The sequence below is a fragment of the Homo sapiens genome, chromosome 16, assembly GCF_000001405.40.
Source record: "Homo sapiens chromosome 16, GRCh38.p14 Primary Assembly".
Lineage (NCBI taxonomy): Eukaryota > Metazoa > Chordata > Mammalia > Primates > Hominidae > Homo > Homo sapiens.
In genome coordinates this window covers 73432512-73457036 of record NC_000016.10, presented here as the reverse complement: position 1 = coordinate 73457036, position 24525 = coordinate 73432512, and the positions used below count along the sequence as shown (strand labels likewise).

Genomic DNA, 24525 nt, shown 5'->3' with positions numbered 1-24525 from the left:
AGTAATCAGTAGATTTCCTTCCACCTGAATGTTATCTCCAATCTGTCCCTTTCAACAGCCCCAGACCCTTCTATTACGCCTCGCTGAAGCGGAGTTTTGGGGCACTCCTCTGACTTGGCTGTTCAAGTATTTTGCTCGGAATATAATTGCAAGATTTAAAGGGGAGGCCAGCAGAGAATTATCAGTTTTTAAAGGTCATGCATATGGTTTTCAGTAGTTGATGCTTAGTAATTCTGTGTTCAATAAATAGTCAGTGCAGCTTGATTAAATCTTTTCCATCCCGATAGAAGGTGCATCTGGATCCCACTCTCCAGGCCTTGGAGCGGCACTCTATTAATTTGGAGGTTGTAATTTTCATTTTGACATTGGAGCAGCTACTCTTCAGAACTGAAACAGAAGAGAGAAAGAAGCTTGTGATTCTGAGTAGCACCTTCTTTCTGTCAAAGCTGGCTGTGGTCTTGCCTATCAGAACATAGTGTCCTATGTTTTGCAAGTCGTTAGTGGTAAGCGTTCTGTGTAAAGAAAGTAACATTCACCAAGGACGCCCAATTGCTGTGGATGTTTTCCTGTGGATATAGCTGCTGTGATACTTCGTCTTTTTGCTTTGGGTAGTGTGGAAGGTGATCTAGGTAATCACATGGGCCTTCTGTGCTGCAGAAGAAGATAAAGGAGGAAGGAAGGGAGGGGGAAAGTGGGGAGGAATGTATCTCTTCTATTTGAAAATTAATCTCAGTTTAAGATTTTTACAAATTGAGAAATCTATTTCTTTTCTTTCCAGGGACTTGGAGAACAAGGAACAAGTATAAAATATCCCTGTCTCACGACCCTGTCAAGTTCTCAGGGAGATGAACATATGAGAGATTGCGGGACATCCTTGCAAGAGGAGAAAGGCTCCTGACTCCTGAGGAGGACTCTGCTGCCCGCTGGCCCCGTTAGACGGACGGCTCCCCTGGCATCCTATTCTTGTTTGGACATTTTTAAAGACCACATATGGTCTCCAGGACTGGAGGAGTCTGAATCACAGTTCTTCCCAGGTAAGGGATATTTCTGCTTCGGGTTCTAAGAAATCTGAAGAAGAACAACAATAAAATAAATAACGCAATGTGGTTTGTCAAGGGACACCCAGCACCTGGATAGTAGTGCATGTGCCACAAATCGGTATAATGCTGGGAGCGCGTACCAACCCAGGTGAAAGGATTGCTCCAATTGGGCCCCCTCACTCCAACCAAAATCAGATTCCTTCTGTAGAAATAAATTGGTAACTGCTTCTTAACAAACAAAGCTTTGAAGTTAAAAAAAAAAAAAAGCAATATTTTAAAAAAAGGAAGAAAATTACAAGTGTATTTCTCCTGACACAGTTTTAAAAGCTGTTTGTAGCTGATTTACAATGCTCATAGTATTCAGCTTTTCATTTGAAATTCTAATAAGTCCTTTGAATGGGTTGGAGCTTGTTAGAAAGTAAAGGGAATGAAATGACTTCATTGAATTATGAGCTTTTGCTGGCTTCCACATACACATCCTGGGTCTCTCTTCAGCATCACCTTTCTTTTCATGGAATGTTCTTGAGTTGAGACAGGCAACAAAGGGACCTCTGGGGTGGGAAGAATGTAGAACCATCATGTATGTTCCATTTTGTTTAGCCCCCTGGGTCTTTATTTTCACTCTTTAGTTTGCATGTTCCTATGATGCACTAAGGAACTGGATGAATGATCTCTATTCTCGCAATCAATTTTCCACTTTTTCCAAACTCTGAGAATGCAAATGTAAAGTTCCTGGGAAGCATTTGGACCTCTCAGATAAGAGGTGCTATTTTTATGAACTAAATGCATTCACCTTTGTTCCAAAAGCAGGTGTGGCTGGTATGAAAACCAGGTCTGTGTAGGTCTTGTTTTCTATCAAGGGGTCATTCTAATTTTATGAGCTACTCCATCTGTGATGGACACCTGACAACGTCATGATGGTTCAAAAAAGAGTCACATCGGGATTTGTAATGACAAGCTTCCATTTGTAAATCGTGTGAAAAATAAGTAGCATGTTCTTGGCATAAAAGGTCTTCATTCTCATTTGGTCTGAACTTGGAGAAGATAAATCAAAGCCCAGGTTAGTTTTCTATTGTAGTTTTTTTTTTTTTTAACTGTCTTATACTTGAATATCCTAGCTTTCCCAACACTGTTATCATAAATGATGGAAAAGTCTTGAATATTTGCATAACATTATAGAAGATTTGTGATTGAAAGGACAGGATGTAACTTATGCAAAGCAGATATATCTTTGCTTTTGTGTTTGTAGTCTCGCTCCTCTCCCTGAGCCACACACACTCTTTATTGGGTGGGTGGGGGAGAGGGGGGTGATACCCTAACTGGGAAAAGGAAGCAGTAATTGTGAAGACTTAGAATGGACTGGGGAGTGAATAGAAAAATAAAGAAATTGAGATCTGTGTAAATGGCTTTTTTTTTTTTTTTGAGAAATTTGGCTGTGAGAGTGAGGAAACAGAGCCTCATTTTTGCTAACTAACCTAAGTCAAATTTCTGAGAAAATTGCTGAATTTGGTAGCTTGAATGGTCCCATTACTGTCTTAGGGAATTCAAAGAACACGAATGAACTCCTCTTGAGATATTTATTCCTTTGGGATCGGCATCAGGTTCAAAATTTCCACTAAGTCTGTCGAGTCTACTTCAAAGAACCTACCATCTTTGTATCATCTGTAAAAGAGATCCGGGTGGAACATGGTTCTGTCTGGATTTTCTCTCTAGAATAAAATGTCATGGGTACCCAAGATTGAGACAAAGACATGGTGCATACTGTAGACTCTTAGAATGTTTCTCTTATCTATTGTTGCCATGCACACCATCCCAAAACACAATGGTGTAAAACAGCTGTGATTTTATTATGCTCATGGATTCTGAGCATAATAAAGAATCAAGAATTTGGGTAGGATGCAGTGGGAATGCCCTACCTCGGCTCCCTGATGTCTAAGGCTGAGCTGGGATGCCTCAGGGTGACAATAAGATGGGCAACTCACTCCAGAGCCTCACTGATACGGTTTGGCTGTTTCACCACCCAAATCTCATCTTGAATTACAGCTCCCACAATTCCCACATGTTGTGGGAGGGACCTGGTGGGAGGTAATCGAATCATAAGGGTGGGTCTTTTCTGTGCTGTTCTGGTGATAGTGAATAAGTCTCACAAGACCTGATGGTTTTACAAAGACGTGTTTCCCTGCACAAATTCTCTTATCTGCCGCCATGTAAGACATGCTTTTCACCTTCCACCATGATTGTGAAGCCTCCCCAGCCATGTGGAACTGTGAGTCCATGAAACCTCTTTTTCTTTATAAATTGCACAGTCTCAGCTATGTCTTTATCAGCAGCATGAAAACAGACTAATACACTTGCTTTTCCATATGGAATCCACGGGGCTGGACTGTCTGAAATGTTTGAGACGGTTCCTTCATTTGCATGTCTGGCTCCTGGGCCAGGATGGTTAAAACAGCTGAAGGTGGCTAGTGTTACACTCTGTTTTCTGACACCGTCTCTTTAGGTGACCAGCTTGAGTGTCCTTCCGGCATGGAAGTCTCAGGGTAGTGAGACTTCTCACAAGGCAGTTAACATTCTCCAGAGCAAATGTTCCATGTTGAGGGAAGAGGAACCTGCTGGTCCTCTTAAAAGCAGGGCCCAAACTGGCACAGTCACCTCTTCCACATCCAATTACACAAAGCAGTCACAGGTCAGTTCAGATTCAGGGGGATGGAACAGTAGACTCTACCTCTCAATGGGGAATCAACTAGTTACAACTTTTTTGGAAACAACAAATCACACTGGATTTCATGCCCAGAGGGCCAACCGACAACCCAGTAATTCAATCAGTCAACACACATTTATTGTACCTATTACAAATGGCCAGTTACAGCGATAAGTAACTCAGATGTGGGACTGTCCTCTTAGAGTTTATAATTTAGCATGAAAGACACACATTAAGTGGATGGATGGGTGGGTGGGTGGGTTTGTAGGTAGGTAAGTAGACAGATATCTCATGGTCAGTCCAACCCAATGGAGAAGGACTGGATATGATTGATGCTTGCAGCAAAGTGGACCAAAGGTAACCTCTTTGAGAAAGAGAGATTTAGGTCAAGTCTTAAGGAGTAATAAGAGACTTAATGACTTAATGTCTGGTGCGTTAATAGAAATGGTAATCATTGGTTGGAAGGCAGCACTTTGTAATAACTTCAGTACCAAATGAAAATTTCTTGCTCCCAATTCCTCACTTCATTTGAAATCCTATTGTTCTACCTTGAAACTTTAGACAGGCACAAGCTTCTCCCTTAAGGTAAGTAAATCCAACAAATGGAAGGCCCACCCACATTTTGGTCTTCACAAATGTCTTAGTTTGGGAGTAGGAATGGTTTTCCTAGGGTCACCATTTGCAAGAAATTCTTACCTATCAAAATGCACTGATTAATTGAGAAGAGATTCTTGGCTGAGTTGAACTAAACCATTACCTCTTCACAAGACAATATTTTTGGCTCCTGAACAAGATGGAAAATGATTTAACTACCTAGGACTGCCTGCCTGCATCAGATTTTTTAGTGTCTTTCTGCCAGCTAGAAGAGTTCATTATATTTTTAATGTGATTAAAAAATTAAAATAAAAAGGTGATTTTTATATACAGACGTTGATGAAAGATGTGTTTTTAAAGCAGTAAATTAAAATCTCATTAATGTTTCAGTGAGAATATTTTGTGCTTATCTGTTTCATCTCTATTTTTGACCTATGGCTTAGAGTTCACAGCATGAAGGAGGTGGAGAAATCTGTTCACCATAAAATGTTAATTATAAGTAAATTACAGCACAAACGTTCAATCAGACACATTAATTCTACATAAAGTGAATTATTGTAGCAGAAAATTTTGAAATGTGACTGAATTTTGTAATCTTTAGTCTCCTTTTTCTGCCTCTCCCACTGATTCCCATGTGTTTATCCCAGAAACTCTCAGCTCTTTGTGTACTGCTGAGCTCAATCTACTTACTGTGTTTTGAAAGTTAAATACAGTATGTAGCCCTCATCTCTCCAAATGATTCTGAATTGTCTATAAGTCTGTTTGTCCATGGCAACTTAAGCAAAATCTTTGATATTTTTCAAGAAGAAAGTTGGGCTCAAAATGACGGTGTTGTGTTTATCACATGGAACAGTTCTCCCCTAAAATATGTTCAAAATATGCACACGTGTATGTTATTGTTATAGTCATTTTCTGCTGTATTTAGTTCCGTTTTTTAAAAAAATTCTTTTATGCCCAAAAACCTAAGGATCTCCCATCTGGGGTCATTTCCCAGTTAACAGAAATATTAAAAGAGGCAAAAATCTTACTCAGAGAGTAGTAATAACCAAAATAATAATTTAGAAAAATGCTTAAAACACCCAGAGTGCAGGTGGCTCACTCCATCAACTATGTTAATTGTTCAGTAGTAGCAAAAATACCGATGCTTTCTTGAACAAGAATGCCTTCATATATTCATCTGGTAATTAGAAATAAGGATGCTTATCAATGTTAACAGGATATTTAGTGCGTTGACTAGATGCCTTCAGATACTGGCTACAGGAGAAGCCACAGATTTTACAAAATATTAGGGAGAAAAAATTTTCATTGATTGGTGCCACTAATAGTCACCTCAATTCAAGTAACAAGTAGTCTAAAGGAATTGCATCGTAGGGGCTCTCGATTCTTAGTTGCCCTTCATTGTAAAGCATTTTTTGATGGATCTGGCCTGTGTCCTTCCACTTACCAAGTCTAGTATATCCCCTAGTGTAAGCTGAAAGCTTGGGTCACATTCTGGGAACACCCCAGTTCAGATCAGGTGCCTGTTGTTTTCAAATCAGAAGCTGCAGGCCCTTGACTGATCTCATCTCACCCACTGAGGCAGCATCATTGCTCCAAACATGTATCCTGTGGCCTCATGAGAGCCTTATGACTTAGTGGAACACAGAGCATGACCCATGTACTGTTTGCCTACCAGTGTCTTGCTTCTGTATTAAAGATCCGTCTTCCCATTAGTTGAAAGTAGAGTTTTTGCTTTGCTTTGTTCCCTCAGATAAGCCATTCCATTTAATACTCATGAAGCTCAACAGAAAGCTAAAGCAGCCAAGAAAAATAAAAATGCTCTATACACTACATTAATAAGAAAATGCAGAAATGGGAATCATAGTACTATTAGGAGAAAAAGACTCCCCCTGTAAGAAAGATGAGGGAAGGGATTTCCAATTTGCTAATGGCAGAAGCTGTTAATCTGCAAATGCATGCAGGCATTGGTGAGTTCTCCTTCGACATGTTCAGGAAACCTTGAGGATTAAAATATGAAAGATTCGGAGTTAGGGATCTGGCAGCATCAAGAGAAAAGAAGCATCAGTTTCCAAGAGGCTAGCTCTTCTAAAGAAAACAGCAGAGTTTTTAAAAATGTAGTAAAGTCAAGTGATTGCTACTTTCGTTTGATACCATAAGCAAAATTATGAAAAACACGAAGATGAAAACCACAAACACGTGTTAAAAGCCTATATTTTTTCTTTTATGGAATAATGACTTTTTTTTTATAAAAATGACACATGTCCGCTACATAAAATTAAAAGTGGTAGAATACAAAGAAAGCAAAATTTCATCAAAACTTCTACCACCTAAAAAAGTCTTTCAAATCTGTTGAATGTCTAAGCATTTGTTTACCATGAATACGTGAAAGAAAAGAGAACAGTGAGACAGATACAGAGAATAAAAGATTCAATGAGGTTAAGAAAAACAGATTTTTAAAAAGGGATTATGAAGACTGTAATGAAAAACACTGTGTTGTTTACCTGAAGTTTGATAGGAGTGGATTTAAGGTACCTTCACCCCCAGCAAACACACACAGTAATGGTAACTATAGGTGGTGATAGATATGTTAATTAATTTGGCTGTGGTAATCAGTACACAGTGTATATGTATATCAAATTATCACATTGTACACCTTGAATATGTACAATTTTTATTTAAATATTTTAAAATAGGGTTATGCATGACAAATATCAGAAGTATTGCATTTAATGGGTAGACATTGTTAGGTTAGAATTTAACAAAAAATATAGACTTGAAATTGAAGCATTTCTGATCCTCAGAAGAAAACATTTTTTTTTGCCAGAATATAGTTCTGAAACAATCTATGATTAAGAGAAAAAAAATGGAGAAAACCTTTTTCTAGATCGATTACTTTAACTTCATGCTTCAGTATTAGACAATATTGACTGACTCCTTGCTTAAAAGATGAGAAAATTAGCACACAGCTACTCAATTTCCTTCCCTTACCTCCTTTTACTAGTTATTGTTTTACTTCATCAAGGTTTGTAATATTTGTCATCTTGTTCTCAAGCCACATTCATTTTGTCATATTTTATACTTCTATATTAAATAATTAAGTGCTCAAGTTTTTTAGATTCATGTTCTTCATTGTTTTTTATTTACCTTTATTAGGCGAATTTTATTTTTAAGAAGAGTTTATATTATTGTTGTTGTTGTTATTTTTTGAGATGGGGTCTTGCTATGTTGCCCAGGCTGATCTCTAACTTCTGGCCTCAAGCAATCCTCCCGCCTCAGCCTTCTGAGTAGCTGGGACTCCAGCCACAAACCACTATGCCCAGCTTGTTTTTAAGAAGACTTTTAGAAGATCGTTAGATGCTCTATTCTAATTTCTTGCGCATGCCTAAGAATGTCTATTACCTTTATACTCAAGGTGCACTGTGAAGGCATAGAAAATAAAATAAAAATAAACACACAAGAATAAATGAATAAATGAAAGGACACATTAGCTGGGTATAAAATTTGAGGAATCACACTTTCTTTCCCTCAAAATGTGTTAGACCTTTGTCCATTGTCTCACAGTACTGGATACTGTCCTTTAACTGCACAGTTGTTATATTTTGTTTGATTAATACATGGACTCATAGGTGTCATACTCCGAGTTTGAGAATATTTCAGTGTTGCAATTATATTCAAACATGAACCTGACTAGACATTATATTCTATGAAACATACTTCCTTGTTCTTTAGAACCTTGTAAATATGGCTTTCTTGTCTTTTGGATGTTATGGAAAAGACTGTGGCTTATCTAAATTTCCTTTTATAGAGTACATGAGTTTTCTTTCTGAATAAATACAGAATTTTTTCTTTGTTCTTTAAGATATACTCAGGATCAAAAAATTCATATTAGTTTCTCATAGAATGTACTGTGAATAGAGAATGCAATAGACAGAAAAAATTCATATATAGGAAAAAATGAATGTGCCTTAAAAGAGGAAGATACACACACACACACACACACACACACACACACACACGTATATAAATATACACCTTCCCCTTTTAAGGCACATTCATGTTTCTCTTATATATGATTTTTTTCTGTCGCAGTCTCTACTCCAGGAACATCTATTATTTTCTTTTTCTATTACCTTCCTTATTTTTTATCTTTTCCTTTTCGTTCACTAAAGACTTTCTCAAGCCTTTGCCCTGTAGCAGTTTTTCTATTTTCAGTCTTGTCTACTTCATACTATCTGTGCTAATTTATTTATTAGTTCTATAATGACATTTTAGTCCGCAGTTTTTTCCCTAAGCTCCAAAGTCTTTTTAAAAATCATTATGTTACTTTAATAGCTTACCACTTAGTTTGTATTTTGGTAAATGTGTGCCATATTTAACTATTCTACGGCATAGTACTAAAAAAGATAGTTGTTTTCCCTTGGGTTGTATTTTCTCCCAGATGGGTGTTTCATCTCTTTTGTATACCTCATTCCCTTTTTAAAGTTATTATCCTCAACCTTAATGTATAATCTTTTGGCATCCTGGCTTAATGTGAAGAAGTTTCTTACTAGATTCGTTACCCTGGATGGGCTCTGAGCATTAATATCTGCCCCTGCCCCCTGCCCCCACAAACACACAGCAAGGCTGTCAAAACCAACATCCAAATGTGCTGATTTGGCAAATGTCCTTATTGGCGACTGCTTGTGGATAAAGAATGTTTCTCCTGTTCTTTTCTTTCAGGGTTCTAGCAGGCCCTTCAGTTTGACCAACTCCTTTACCTCACATCAACTCCTCAATGCTTTTAAGGTGTTTTTACTATTTTTTACAGCATGATGAAGTTGTTTTCAGCAAAGCTTTAGTCTGAGAGGACAAGTTTGCCATTATTAAAAATAGAGTTCCCTTCATGCTGTTATTTATTTTGTTCTTGCTTAATATGTAGAGCTCCGTGTAGACCTCTGTACTAACAGATATTAAATAAATTCTTCTTGACCAACTTCCTGCTTTACCTGAGACCCTTCTTTCCTCTTAGCAGCAGTTTAATGTGTTCTATCTGTTGTCTGTATTGGGTCTTTAGTGGGAAGAGTTGCTCTGATGGGCTGTGTCTCAGAACCAGGGACTCTGCTCCTTTTCATGAAATTCTGTTAAATGTCCTTATAGAGGCAATGTTCCTGCCTCTAGCAAGAGGTAGAGAGCTTCTAATCTTGAAATTATGTTCCTGACTCCACCCAAGATGCCTATACACCCCTTGGCTTGCTTTTCTCCGAACTGTGGGGTATTCAGGGAACATTCTAAGTATTTTCTTTACTTCTTTCTACTCATTCTGGGATTCAGGGTATGGTTAAAAGCAGCGTTGTGGTACACCAAAATCATTGTCCTACTCTTCCCAAGCTGACTTTTTTTGAAGATTATGGCTTGTAGTTCTACCATTTTCTTTGTTTGACTGTTGCTGGTGTTTTCCTGATTTTTTTCACTACTTCTTGTTCCTTTTATTAGATGTTGGAGCAGAGAGGTTTTTGTGTTTTACATTTTTTTTTTTTTTTTTGAGATGGAGTCTTGCTCTGTTGCCCAGGCTGGAGTGCAGTGGCGTGATCTCGGCTGACTGCAAGCTCCGCATCCCGGGTTCATGCCATTCTCCTGCCTCAGCCTCCCGAGTAGCTGGGACTACAGGTGCCCACCACCACGCCTGGCTCATTTTTTTGTATTTTTAGTAGAGATGGTGTTTCACTGTGTTAGCCAGGATGGTCTCGATCTCCTGACCTCATGATCCACCCACCTCGGCCTCCTAAAGTGCTGGGATTACAGGTGTGAGCCACCGTGCCCAGCCTTTTTTGTTTTACTTTTAAGTTCAGGGGTACATGTGCAGGTTTATTATATAGGTAAACTTGTGTCATGGGGGTTTGTTATACAGATTATTTCATCACCTGGGTATTAAGTCTAGTACCCATGGTTGATTTTTGCTGATTCTCTCCCTCCTTTCACCCACTACTCTCCGGTAGGCCCCAGTATATGTTGTTCCCCTCTATGTGTTTATGAGTTCTCATCATTTAGCTCCCACTTATAAGTGAGAACATGCAGCACTTGGTTTTCTATTCCTGTGTTAGTTTGCTAAGGATAATGGCTGATATGGTCTGGCTCTGTATTCCCACTCAAATCTCATTTTGAATTGTAATCCAAACTGTAATCCTCACGTGTTGGGGGAGGGACCTTGTGGGAGATGATTAGATCACTGGGGAGGTTTCCCCATGCTGTTCTCACCATAGTCAGTGGGTTCTTTTATGAGATCTGATGGTTTTATAAGGTTCTTTCCCCAGCTTCACTCTGCACTTCTCCCTCCTGCCACCATGTGAAGAAGGACGTTTCTTTCCCCTTCCACCATGATTGTAAGTTTCCTGAGGCCTCCCCAGCCCTGAGGAACTGTGAGTCAATTAAGCTTCTTTTCTTTATAGATTACCCAGTCTTGGGTATTTCTTCATAGCAGCATGAGAAAGGACTAATACAATGGCCTCCAGCTCCATCCATGTTCCAGAGCAGGAAGATTCTGTGATCCAAATGTACTCCACCATTTCCCCCTCAGACTTAAGATTCCACACCTTAATAGACCATAACTTTGTGTTACTGAGGCTATGCCAAATGAATGAGTGCATTGTCTTCATTTCAGAAACAGATCCTCAGGAAAGTATTCAAGTAAAATTCATTTATTTGTAAGGTGATCCCAGGAACTGAGAGAAGCATAAGAACAAACAAGAAAAGAGAAGGATGATCATAAAGAGAACATTATCCAGCAAGTTTCAACTGTGGGCAACAGGAACTTCATTTCAAGACAGAACTCATGGAAGAGTGTAGAACTCACACCTCACAGTTATTCCACCTCAGGGGAAAGGGAGCTGGTGTATTTTATTTACACACTAACCCTGCTGTGCATTTGGACACCTGCTCCCAGGTGTTAATTCCCTCTTACTTCCTGCCTACCGCAGGCACAGGCAGTGCAGCAGCCTCAGAAGGTCAAAGCTCTCAATGAATGAGACTCCAGAAGTTGGAAGTTGGGTTTCTGTGACCTGAAGTGATCAAATCCAGAGGAACATTTTACCATTTTTTCCCCTATGCTGGGGCACACTATGTGATTGTGAATTTCAGGCATCTTGCGTCTGGGTAGAGCAGGCCTGGGAGGCAGGAAGATCTTCTCAGGGCTGCTCAGATAGTTCCATTTGGAACTATCCTGCTTGATAACAAGTAGAGACCTTGACCATTGATCCCTTCTAATTGATATGGTTATAAAATCCCTTTAAATCCAATGAAAAAGTCAGGGGAAATATCTTGGGAGGCCTGAAAAATGGTGAAGGGGTGCTATTTTGGTCAATAAAACTGGGAAAACCATGGATGCTCTCTCTCTCTCCCCCCCATACATATACACACACACACATACATATACATATATATATACACACATATATACATACATATACACACATATACACATATGTATACATACATACACATGAATTATATATTCGAATTATGTATATACATATACAGAACTACATATATACATCTATATTCATTGTATATGAAAAGATTTTTTTTAAAATTTTTCAGACAGTCTCGTTCTGTCACCCAGGCTGAAGTGCAATGGCGCAATCTCCGCTCACTGTAACCTCCGCCTCCCGGGTTCAAGCAATTCTCCTGCCTCAGCCTCCTGAGTAGCTGGGACTATAGGCCCCTGTCACCACACCTGGCTAATTTGTTTTTTTTTTTTTTTTTTTTTTTTTTAGTATAGATGGAGTTTCACCATGTTAGCCAGGATGGTCTCAATCTCCTGCCCTCATGATCCACCTGCCTCAGCCTCCCAAAGCGTTGGGATTACAGGCGTGAGCCACCGCACCCGGCCATGAATAGATTTTTCTAAGAGGTGAGCACAGGTCAGGTGGCACATACAGAATAAACATGCATGGTGTTGCATGCTGCACAGGTGCTGCACTTCACTTGAGAGCTTTGAGTGTTGCTCAGTTGCATCCCCATCAGTTGCTATCTGACATGCACCAAAGAGAGAACATGTTTTCTGGAGGCCACTCACATAAATGTGCTCACCTGGAATTCAACTTTCAAGTAATGTCCTTTTATAAAGATATTCTACTGATTTTAACATTAGAAGGAGCATAACTTTTGGCTGCTGTATATGTCATATATCTGAATGGAGACTTACAAATGCATCCCATTTATGCTGTGTGAACTATCTGACCTTGTGGTTAAAAAGTGGCAAATTACATTAAATCTAAGGGAAAAAAACTTAAAAGATTTCCAGACTCATTGAATAAGGTAGAGAGAAATGGTAGAGAAAAATGGTCATTTTAGATACAATACAGGCCAGGGATTCTGATCAGCTGTTTTGCACAGTAAAGTGTTTATACGGAATATTCTATTTTAAAAGGCAAGTGTACCTCAGAAGTCCCACCCAAGGGATCAGAGCTCTGTGTATATTCATGGCAGAGGGAACAGCAGCTTGTTCACTTCATGGGACTTGAAAAAATTATCCATACTAGAAATCATTATTTTAAAATGTAGGAGTATTTTGTCTAATATTTTATTGAGGAAAAGCTAAATCTAGGATATCAGGTGGCAGTGGTGGGAGAATGTGTAATATTTATTTGACCAAGAGAAAGCGAAGGACTTGGCGTGGTGGCTCACGCCTGTAATCCCAGCACTTTGGGAGGCCAAGGTGGGATGGTTCCTTGGGCCCAGTAATTCAAGACCAGCCTGGGCATCATAAATAATACAAATATTTTATTATAAAGAAAATAAAAAAATTAGCTGGGCATGGTGGCACACACCTGTAGTCCCAGCTACTTGTGAGGCTCAGGTGGGAGGATCACCTGAGCCCAGGAGGTAGAGGCTGCAGTGAGTTGTGATCACGCCACTGCACTCCAGCCTGGGCAACAGAGCTAGACTGTCTCCAAAAAAAGAAAAAAAGCCAAGGAGTAACTTAACTGGCTAAATATATGGTGGAATTTTATGTGGATATTTTTGAATCATTATTCTCCATATCCATAGAGAGAGAAAGGGAGAGAAGGAGGGAAGGAGGAAAATAGATTTGCAGGGAATGGGAAAGAGAAGGAATGCACCAAAGTCATAAGGCTGAAAATGCTGACCTTTGGCTTCCATTAGCAAGAGATTTGGGTAAGACATAAGGAATAACTTTTTGTCAGGCAAAGTGATAAATGATCACCGTGGATCTCCAAGGGATCTTGTGGTGTGTCCATTGGAGGAGACTTTCAGAGAAGAAACTATCATCTTTTGCAAAAACTTTGCATGAAAGATCTAGGCAATAAGTTGTACATCGTTATCATGTCCGGGAACTCTGATTATTCTCTGAGTGGGAATTGTCTATTTTTTAAGAAAAATGTACACACAGACACACATCTCCGTAACTTCCATCCACAAAGCTGTTTTCTTGCTCTTCAAATCTTTACAAGTATGTCATAAACATTTGGGCTGCTCCCCATGCTTGCAAATTTATTTCTTTCCCTTCTTTCTGTTATTGTCATATAAAGAAAGCTTCAGATCCAGCCATGAATTTACATGTTGTTCTGGGCTGAATTCTGCCCTCTGAAAAGTCATGTGTTGAAATTCTAATCCCCATACCTCAGAACATGACTGGATTCAGAGATAGGATCTTTAAATGGGTAATAAAGTTAAAATGAAGTTGTTAGGGTGGGCCCTAATCCAATATCACTGGTGTCCTTAGAAGAAGAGGAAATTGGACAGCTTGGGCAACATGGTGAGACCCCGTCTCTACAAAATAAATAAAATAAAAAATTAGCCGGGTTAGGTGGCACATGTCTGTAGCTGCTCGGGAGGCTGAGGTGGAACTCACTGCAGCCTCAAATTCTTTGAGCCCAAGAATTTCCCAAACACCCATTGCCAAAGCCCAACAGACAGCAGCCCTTATGCCTGGATCCTGCGCTCATGGTGCTCCCCTTTATTCAAATCTGGCCCTTTTGGCAAAAAATTAAGGCTGTGAGGAAAGAGAAGAGGGGCATGGCCCTGAGGTGGGTCAGCTACTCACCTGAAGAAACAGGTCTCTTTTAAGATTACCATATACTGGGAATTCTATTCGGAATTCAATACTGAGACACTAGTTGTTTTTCCACTTTTCTATTATAATCACCTATGTCATCTCATGGGGTTTTTTCACTTACATGGTTAACTACGCACACAAAAGATACTAAAGATATTGTTCACATTTTTTTTTAATTTAAAAAAGATTCCTTGAGCCTAGGAATTTAAGGCTGCAGTGAGCTATGATCGTGCTACAGCACTCCAGCCTGGGCAGTAGAGCAAGACCCTGTCTCAGAAAAAAAAAAAAAGAGGAAATGGGATACTGATGTGGACAAAGGAAAGACAGTACAAAGATGCAAGGAGAAAAGGTTCATCTATATAAGAAGGAGAGAGGCCTCAGAAGAGACCAACCCTGCCAACACCTTGATCTCGGACTTCTAGCCTCCACCTGCAAACTAACATGAATGTCCTTTCCCTTCCAGGCTCCTCCTTCCCTTTGCCTTCTCTTGGGAGAGACTTGTCTCAGCTCCCTAACATTTCTTTCATTCTGGTCATCTGTAAACACACCCACCCTCCCTTCTTCAGGTCTTGGTACTGAGAGCCATCATTGCCTGCCTGCCTGACCCAGGTCTCTCTGGAGAAGGGGAGAGACCTGGAGTCCTGTTAAGAGTGAATCCCAAGACACTAACTGTTGAGAAAATTCTCATCCGCACACGATGTCGCATTCCACCATTTTCATTTTTCTCAAAACGGTACACGTTTCAGGGAGGCTTTTTGTATTTGTGCTTCTGTAGCACATTTCAGTTTACAAAGTAGTTTTGCAGATTTGACTTTGCTGAATCTTCCCCACATTTCAAGTCAATGGTTTTCCAAGACACTGAGACTCAGAGAGGGTAAGTAACTTGATGAAAATTACTCATCTAGGAAATGGCAGAGCTGGAATTTGAACCAAGGAGAAGATACATGTTGTCACTGACTCCCAGCTCAGGGTGGTTGGCGATGGCTGCTTTATAGGGTGGCTGATTTCTCTCTCCTCTGAGCTGGACTTGCGTGAACTTCCTATTGGTATGCGTCGTTACCCCTGGCTTGGAGTTTGCTTGTGAATCATTATTACCCCAACTAAATTGGAAGCTCTTGGGAGGCAGGTTTTGGGCTGTGCTTGCTGTTTGGTTACAGTGTTTAGGGAACATCTGTTGATTGATTGGTTGGCTGGATGGGCTCTTTTACCAAAGGATACAGCACATCTCTTGGCATCTGGTTTTTCAAAGACACATGCAAAAATGACAGGGAGTTCAGGATGTTGATCTGGTCTTTTAGACAAAGGTTAGGAGGGGGAATGTATAAAAATAACACCATGGATTGACATTATATTACAATAATTGTAATTATTATACCCTTTATTTTTACAGCATCTCTCTCTCCCTCTCTCTAAGGGGCTCATAGTCCATTTGTAAGCAGTGGGCCTTATCCTGCTGCTAAATAGAAAATAAATTGCTTATCTCTTGGAAAAGAATTAACTCTTTCAGGGCACTGGGGTACCATTTAGTAAATTAGTAATCCTCTAAATGGCACTCTAGATATGTAACAACCCCTATATAAACCTGGAAAATGAACGTGTTCCCAGTGCTTAAAAGAAATCAGGGCATGCCAAACAGAAATCAGACAGCAAGCTTAAAATACAAATAATGTGCTTATCTCTCTTCCCTAATAACTTAGTGTTCATTCTCATGGAAATCTGTTTGTGACTAAAGATGAATCTATTTGCTAAAAGCTGGCACTTCTGATCTTTTAATCTACTAATATGAGAGCAATAAAGAGGAAGGGGCAGATGATAGGAAAACAGAGTGGTGGTGTTTATACACATGGGAGCTGGGGGAATTTGTTCAGCTAAACAGATTTTGAGAGACTGATGGATTTTTTCAAAGCCATTTGAAAGGCTGGCCATGATGGTTCCCTTAGGTCCTGAAAATGTTCATCTTCTTCCAAAATAGTGGCTGGTGAATTGGAATTAGCTGCATAGATCTCGTTGGAACCATTACTAAGGTAGGTAGAGGCAGGCACCACTGTGAATCAATAGTAGCTATTTCCAACTTACAAATCCAACTCTCAATCTGTCAGAAATGAAGCTGATGAAATTAACACAAAGTCGGAGCTTCTGGAGACTTTCCGTGGCAGGCACGGAGAAATGGGAATGGTTAATTGGTGCCAAATGGGTCTATTTTTCAAAAAAGCAGATTGACTACAGTTTTTCTGTCTTGTGTTCGTTTTCTGTCTCCCAAATTGGTGGTCTGATCACCTCATCCCATGTAAAATTTCTGGAGTTCACCCATGGACTCAAATGCCTCTTGGACACACTCGTTTGTCTGGATGTTGCTCCACTGAATTCTGATTGTAATTCAGTAACACGGTATTGATTGTTGAGACTTTCAGTTTATGTGCAATGAGATAGAATTTGGAAACTGGAGGTGTCTTATTGACTTTCTGATTTGCACTTCTGGGAAAGTCATTGGATGGTCAGATGGGGTGCTGCCAGGCAGTTTGGCAGTTCAGTAAATACTCTGTGGTTATTCCTCCAAATTGTGTACTGTTTCCATCAATGAACCCTCACTTAGTTCCCATGTACTGTGAACAACGCACTTGACTGCTAACAGCCATGCGTGTTCCTCCATCTCAACCCCGTGCCTACACCGTAACCTCTTTTGAAGCCTTGGCCCTTCTCCTTGTTTTTTTTTTTGTGTTTTTTTTTTTTTTTTTTTTTTTGTCCCTCTCCCCTTCCTGCCCCACTGACAGTCAGCTGCCAGGGGCCTCTTTATACAAGCCTCAGCCTTTCAAGGCAAATATGCCACATGTGTCCAATTTCAGCAATCCACACACCTCTGAGCCCCTCAAACTCCAAGGAGCACCCGTAAAGAGAAGAATCAGCAGGCTGCTAAAAAGAAATCAAAGCAGATCAGCAAAACATCTTGAAAGGGGGGAAGGAGGGATGACCACGTGGACTAACAGCCTCCATTTTCCAGGAGGCAATCTGACTGGCAACAAAAATAAACACTAATGGGAAAAATGTATATTCAGTCTAATTATATAATTGCAGTCTGCTTTTCATACATCACACAGGGAGTGAAAGAGTGTAGCATCGGTAAGCAGCTCAGTGATTTCCCTCATGCATAGTATGCATTTTGCATTTAGTTGTTCTTTGGCACAAGCAGAGGTCCAAATACACTGGGCTGGAGGATTCCATGTCCGTGATTCCTAAACGCGCACTTCATCTCAAGATGAAGGTCAGTTGCAATAGCACGCTGAGCTCAAAGGTAGCAAAATCAGATGAACAAAGCTGGCATGAAAAAACAGAGCCACTAATCCATCTCCCAGGTGGCTCTTTTAATATTCCAAACTGTGTTTCATCATTCAACAGTCTGTTCAACTAAGAAGCCCGGTCAGCATCACCCTTCTGCCGGCTGACTCTTCTAACTTTCTAGCAAGTAACACAGCTGATGGATTTCTCACCCCGCCTCTATTGCTGACACTAGACCCTCAGAGAGTTTTCCAGGAAAGAGAAAGCTAGGTTCTATTAATTTGCTTTGGTTTAGGGAGGAAGGCAAAAACCCCCCAGGTTGTATCCTGTGATGGTCTGAGACAGATGTGCTGCTCTTGTCCAAATCTCCATCCTTTCCTTTTTGGCATTCTATCACTCACAGGTTTGCACTCTCAGTGCAATGGGAACTGCTGGCTTCACTGCTTTGGGCCTCTGTCACCTTTGTCTCTGGTCCTGGCTGTCGCTTCTCTTGCTATTTTGTGAGTCTGATTTTCTCTCCATTGGAAAACACTGTCACTCTCTAGGTAGGTAGGAAGTTTCCAAAAAGAAAATTGTTGGGGCAATTACCACACATTTTATTCTCAAATTTTCAAGAGGATGCTGAAAATAAGGAAAGAGTTTGGAGGTTCTGAAATTCTAATTTAACACAAATTTAGTAATAATAATTAAGGGTTATCATTAATGTGATTATTCCTCTACTTTATCACTATATCAAGAATTTTGCTTCTTTCTTGAACTTTGTACAATCCAGAGGCAATGCATAGATGCGTAATATAACTTGCATTTGATGTTTATTGTTTTTCCCTGTCAACATGGAAAAGTATTAATGCGTTACAGTTCAAAATACATTTGGATGATTATTTCTTTTATCTAGTTATGTGTGTTTTGTAACTTGCTTCACATGCTCTCTCTTTCTGATTTTTGTTGCTTTGGTTCAAATGCCCAAGATTGCATTTGGGCCATTATGAGTTCATAGTGATTGAAGGACTTATCCCAGTGACTGCATTATCAGCATCCACCCTTCTGCAGAGAAACATCTCTACCAGGGAAGAGCCCATTTTTGTTTTCCTCCATTTGCTGTTAATCTGACTTTGTGATAATGTCATCAAGCCTTATTCTGTACTTTTTCTTGATGAGCTGAAATTCTCTGGAGCTACGAGTTGCAGGCAGGGGAGAGAGCGATAAACTGGAACCAGAGAGTTAGGCAAATACACTTTTGACATTCCTCTGCCTTGGACATAAAATTGATGGACCCACATTTGCCATTTTTTTTTTTAGGTTTAGAGCGATCCCAGAACCACTTGACTTTCAAATCAAACTCTATTAGAACACCCAACTCAAGAAAAAGATGCCAAGTAAAAAGTTGAACACTGATGTTGAAAGAGAATATCATCCTTATTACAGCTGGTGTCCAATGGCTTCAGAAAGTAGCATGATGATAAGAAAGACTACAGAAGAGTTTGCAAGGACCATTTTGGTTTGCAAATATTTTGAAAACTTAAAACGCATTCATGCATAATGGGGAAACTTTGCAAACAGGGCAGACCTGGAAAATAGCGAGATTTGACTTTCTTTTGATTAATATTTCCCACTTGGAAACAGTTTTAGCCTCCACATACTAGTAAACATAGACTTGTTGGTGAAAATACCAATAATAATAATTATGTCATTTATGTAGAAATTATATATAGTAATTTTGACTATTTGGAATGAAATGTAAATGTCAAAAGTAATGGGGGGAAATGTCTTCTATAGGAAGAAAAGGATGTAACACAAAATGCACACACTAATACTGATGAGGTAAAAATCTTTGGGGGAGTCTCATTTAATGTGTCTTAGGAATATTTCATTGAAAATATTTAAAATAAAAATAATGCTTTGAGGCATGAAGGGATACGCTTCAATTTCCCACCACAATAACATATGAAAACCCCCTATTCCAATGTCAGATAAAAAGGCATGTTATACAAAATCCCTTTCCTAAAATTAGTTAATTGGTATAATACTTTTTGTAGTTTGCTAGTTAAATATAGACACCAAAAAGGGAACTGAGCATTTTGTCCTTGCCTTTGTTACTAGTTAATTGTGTGACCTTGAACCAGTCATTTAATCTCTCTGGCCCTAAGTTTTTTCATCTGCAAAATACGGTATTAGGTTGGTGCAAAAGCAATTGCGGTTTTTGCCTTTGAAAATAATGGCAAAACCCTCAATTACTTTTGCACCATCCTAATATTACTCCAAAATTAAGTTTCTACTATTTGTAAGAAGTCGTGTGCTTCCTACACATCAGAGCTTCCAGATTGCGGTGTCAGGCAGACTGCTGAGCTCCAGGCCTCCCCAGAGCCTGTCTAGCCAAACAACTGAAGAAGCTTCAATCTAAGAGAAGCAAGACCAGCTTGAATCAAGTTCAAGGCATCTGTGGAGGGAAGAAAGGTGTGATTTAGAACTCAGGGGAGTCTGTGTCACTGGAGGGTCTTGGGAAGCTCTATGCCTCATCCAGGGAGAAGACGGGATCACTTTGGTGTCCATCTACCAGAGCATAGAGACAAACAAACAGGAAGGAAGCCATTCCCCACCCCACCCTCCCCTGACTTCAGCCAGGATGTCACCTGGCTTCCTTGCATCAAAGTCACAAAGAACAGCACAGCCAAAGCAAGGGGAGGTCCTGGTGAGTTGATGGTAGCAGAATTCATGGCTTCTTGATAACCCTGGTAGCAGTGGCAGTGGGTGGGTAGCTGATACGGTTTGGCTGTGTCTGCACCTAAATCTTGAATTGTGCTCCCATAATTCCCACGTGTTGTGGAAGGGACCTGGTGGGAGATAACTGAATCGTGGGGGTGGTTTCTCCCATACTGTTCTCCTGGTAATGAATATGTCTCACGACATCTGATGGTTTTATAAGGGGAAACCCCTTTCACTTGGTTCTCATTCTCTCTTGTCTGCTGCCATGTAAGACGTGACTTTTACCTTCCACCATGATTGTGAGGCCTCCCCAGCCACATGGAACTCTGAGTCCCTTAAACCTCTTTTTTGTTGAGACGGAGTTTCACTCTTGTTGCCCAGGCTGGAGTGCAATGGTGTGATCTTGGCTTACCACAACCTCCACCTCCCAGGCTCAAGCGATTCTCCTGCCTCAGCCTCCCAAGCAGCTGGGATTACAGGCATGTGCCACCATGGCCAGCTATTTTTTGTAGAGACAGGGTTTCTCCGTGTTGGTCAGGCTGGCCTCAAACTCCCAACCTCAGGTGATTTGCCCACCTCGGCCTCCCAAAGTGTTGAGATTACAGGCGTGAGCCACCGCGCCGGGCTACCTCTTTTTCTTTATAAATTACCCAGTCTCAGGTGTGTCTTTATCAGCAGTGAGAAAACGGACTAAAACAGCAGCCATCCCTAGTGCACTGGGCCGTGGGAGAACTCACCACCCATTCAGTGAGCCTCAGCAGGTAACAGGGCTCTGGTGCAGACACCAGGCAGGATGCCCTTGAGGTCTGCAGAGGCCGCCCAGGCTTCAGCAGCAGATACCCCTGACCCCAAATAGCAGATTCCTAAGGTCCTGAGGGTGACTCATTGGTGAGTACCTGTGAGCCCCAACTCAGAACAGGGGAGAACTTGAGTGGAGGCCTTGGTTCTAGGATAGCAGGTGAGACACGAAATGGGAACTGTGACTCCTGACCATGGCTTTATCCCAGAGCTGCTCATCCCGGGCAGTTTTGCCCTTCAGGGAACATTTGACAATGCCTGGGAGGTAATTTTGGTTGTCACAAATGAGGGGAGAGAAGTGCTAATGGCATCTAAGGACACAAGTTGCTACGGAGTACAGAACAGCCCCACCACAAAGAATGAATTGGGCCAGGCGCTGTGGCTCACACCTGTAATCCCAGCACTTTGGGAGGCCGAGGCAGGCAGATCACCTGAGGTCAGGAGTTCGAGACCAGCCTGCCCAACATGGCAAAATCCCATCTTTACTAAAAATACCAAAAATTAGCTGGGCCTGGTAGTGGGCGCATGTAGTCCCAGCTACTTAGGAGGCTGAGGCAGGAGAATCACTTGAACCCGGGAGGTGGAGGTTGCAGTGAGCCGAGATCGCATCACTGCACTCCAGCTTAGGTGACAAGAGCGAAACTCTGTCTCAAAAAAGAATGAATTGGTTCAAAATATCAAGAGTCCCAAGCCTGAGAAACCTACTTTACCTCCTTTGTGCCAATCCATCATGCAGGTGTGACCTGGGAAATCTCTGCCTAGGTGCACCTGAAAGCTGAACACAATGCCAGCCAGCCAGCCAGCCAGCCAGTTCAAACAATAATGAGGATGATTCCACAATCCTAATAACATCATAATATCACTGATAACATGTATTGAGTCCTATTTACTTCCTGCCAGGCACTATTGATGCATTGCAGAGGTATTCATTCATTTAATCCACCCCACGACTCTAGTAGGCAGGTGTGACTCTTACTTGCAATGCCCCGTGTAAATAGCCATGCCGGCCACTGACTGGACGGCGTCAGCCAAGCTGCTTGTTTTCCCAGTTTGAGTGGGTACCTCAGTCAGACCCACTTAGAGGACTGTTGAAGTCACTGACCTTCCTCACCTCCACCATTGTCCCAGCAACTGGAGAACAGAAGGCCAGCCCAGCACTCCCAGCCCACTGTTCCACATCTTGAGATCAACCTCAATGATGTTATCTGATCACCTCCAAAAACACATTGTTGTTTTCTGCAGGAAAAAGCAACAACAAAAAAAAAACACCATCCATAGATGAGTCAACACAGCACAAAGTCAAGTGGAAAGGGGTAGGGAGAGAAGCCAGGAACTTGAAATTTCTATTAAAATACATCATTAAAGCCTCCAAAGTCTGTTTTTGCCTCAGTTATTCAAGCAGATGCAGATTGTTTTTAAATGAAGCAGATAACTGGGGCAGGGTAGCCCTAGCCTGTTTCCATAGGACCTTAGTAGATAAACTTAATGAGATGGACTAATTAGTCCTCAGTCCCTGCTTCAGGGGCTTTGGTTTCCTTAGAGGAACACCACAGACCTCCCGTTCACCTTTCATCTCAATCAATCCTCTTGTATTTACTAAGGGCCCCAGGAGTGGGGCACGAGAAGTGTAGATCATTCAATGTGTCGCAGCACATATTTTCAATATTATGATAAGAAGACAAGGGACCCTGCATTTTGTCAACTTTCGAGTCCAAGATCGATCAGCAAATAGATGGGCCTCCCCGTATTCTGAATTACAGTGTGTGTTTGGGCGGTTTATTGACAGTTGATAACTACTGACCACTAGTCCTGATAGAGTTACAAAGGTCAGGTCAAGGGAGGTCAGAGCCACAAAGGACGCCTCCTCTTCCAGCTCGCCCCCCTCCCAGAAGGGACACGCAAGTCAATAACTAAGCCACCTGTGGGGTCTGAAGGCTTTTCCAGTCTTTCTCCCTCTGGCTGTGCCATGACATAACCCCAGTGCAGCCTCGTCCTCTCTGGCTTTTACTCTGGCCACTGCCCTGGGAGTCACCCAGGCGGCCGGGAAGCCACGGCTCACCCAGTAGGCACCGTGCAGCCGCAGAGTGGGCTCAGCTCTGTCTGCCGCTGCAGGCTCACTCCCCAGGCCCTTCCAGAAGCATCATTGCCAGTACAGGCTGGGCGTCTGCCTCGTAACCCCAGAGAGTTAAGGACACACAGAGGCAAAGAAAGTGGCAGGCTTTATGGCTCCCCTAGGAGCATGGTCCCCCTGTGTGTATGCAAACTGCTCTTGGCAAGCAAAAGTTTAATTAAAAGCCTCTCAGAATGCCTCTCCAGCTGGGGTGGGCGTCGGTTGCCAGGAGGGGCCTTATCAAGTGGATTTGAAAACTTATAAACGATAGTCCTTGTTCCCAGGAAATGTCATCTGGTCTGCCTCATTGGGCGCCTTGCTGAGGAGGGGGTGCTGTGCATGTTTTTGATGCGGTATCTATTGTCTACCTGCAAGATGCAAATGATATTCAAATTTGGTTCCAGTGTACAGGCTGCGTGCATATACCCCACAGCAGCCCTCAAGCAAGTGACTAATGGGAACATGTGTTCTTCCTATTTTTATAAGTCTGGGAGAACAAGGGGGTGGAGGGCTGAGCTTGTGGGGTTTCAAATCTCTCTTGCAGGGGACATGCCGCTGTCTGGAGTGATAGTAATACTCAGTGGCAGCTCCATGGCAGCAGGCCCCGACCTGCCTAGATGCTCTACTCCACGGAGGACCTTGAGCTGAATAAATAGTCCTGCCTGTCCCTTCCATCCCCCCAGCCAGGAGAGAAAGCCAGGGACACAGCAGGGCTCTTAGGACAGTGGCGAGGCCCCAGCCTCTCCCTCCTGTGGCTTGGCCAGGAGTTATTCTCAGCAGGACCTCGTTGGGAGCTAGTAGAGTGATTATCTCAATATGATCTAGTTGGTACTGCAATGATCAGTGTTTTTAATTAGATGATTCTTAACTGTCTCTGTCAGGTCAGCTGTGGGGAGGCAGGGGAGCTTGAAATGACTTCAATAAAACCCATCTATCCGGAGCCTTGTGTAGCCTCTTGCAGCCCAAGGTAGAAAAAAAAGAAGAAGAAAAACACACAGAGCGATTCTAAGATGCTCTTAGGATCACAGACGGTTTCTGCTGCTCAGTCCCTGATGCTGACATTGCTGTGGGTGCAGCAGTGGGTCTTTCTGTATCTTAATGGCTTCTACTTATACCTTGATCCAGTGAACAGGAATTACATGGCAAAGAGGCATGAGGTGACAAACAACAGCTCTTGCATATGGGAAACATTCTCTTCATATGTGAATAACAGAATGCATGAATCTTGAAGTGCTGGGATTTGGAGGGATAAGAA

General features: G+C 41.5%; 1 protein-coding gene across 1 annotated transcript in view; it reads left to right on the top strand.

The window, feature by feature from the left end:
- ZFHX3 (zinc finger homeobox 3) overlaps window positions 1-24525 on the top strand; it is a 1109046-nt gene that overhangs the window by 434894 nt on the left and 649627 nt on the right. The window contains exon 3 of the mRNA NM_001386735.1: window positions 779-1034. The gene's annotated coding sequence lies outside the window, so the exon portion shown is untranslated. The remainder of the gene's footprint in view (window positions 1-778; window positions 1035-24525) is intronic.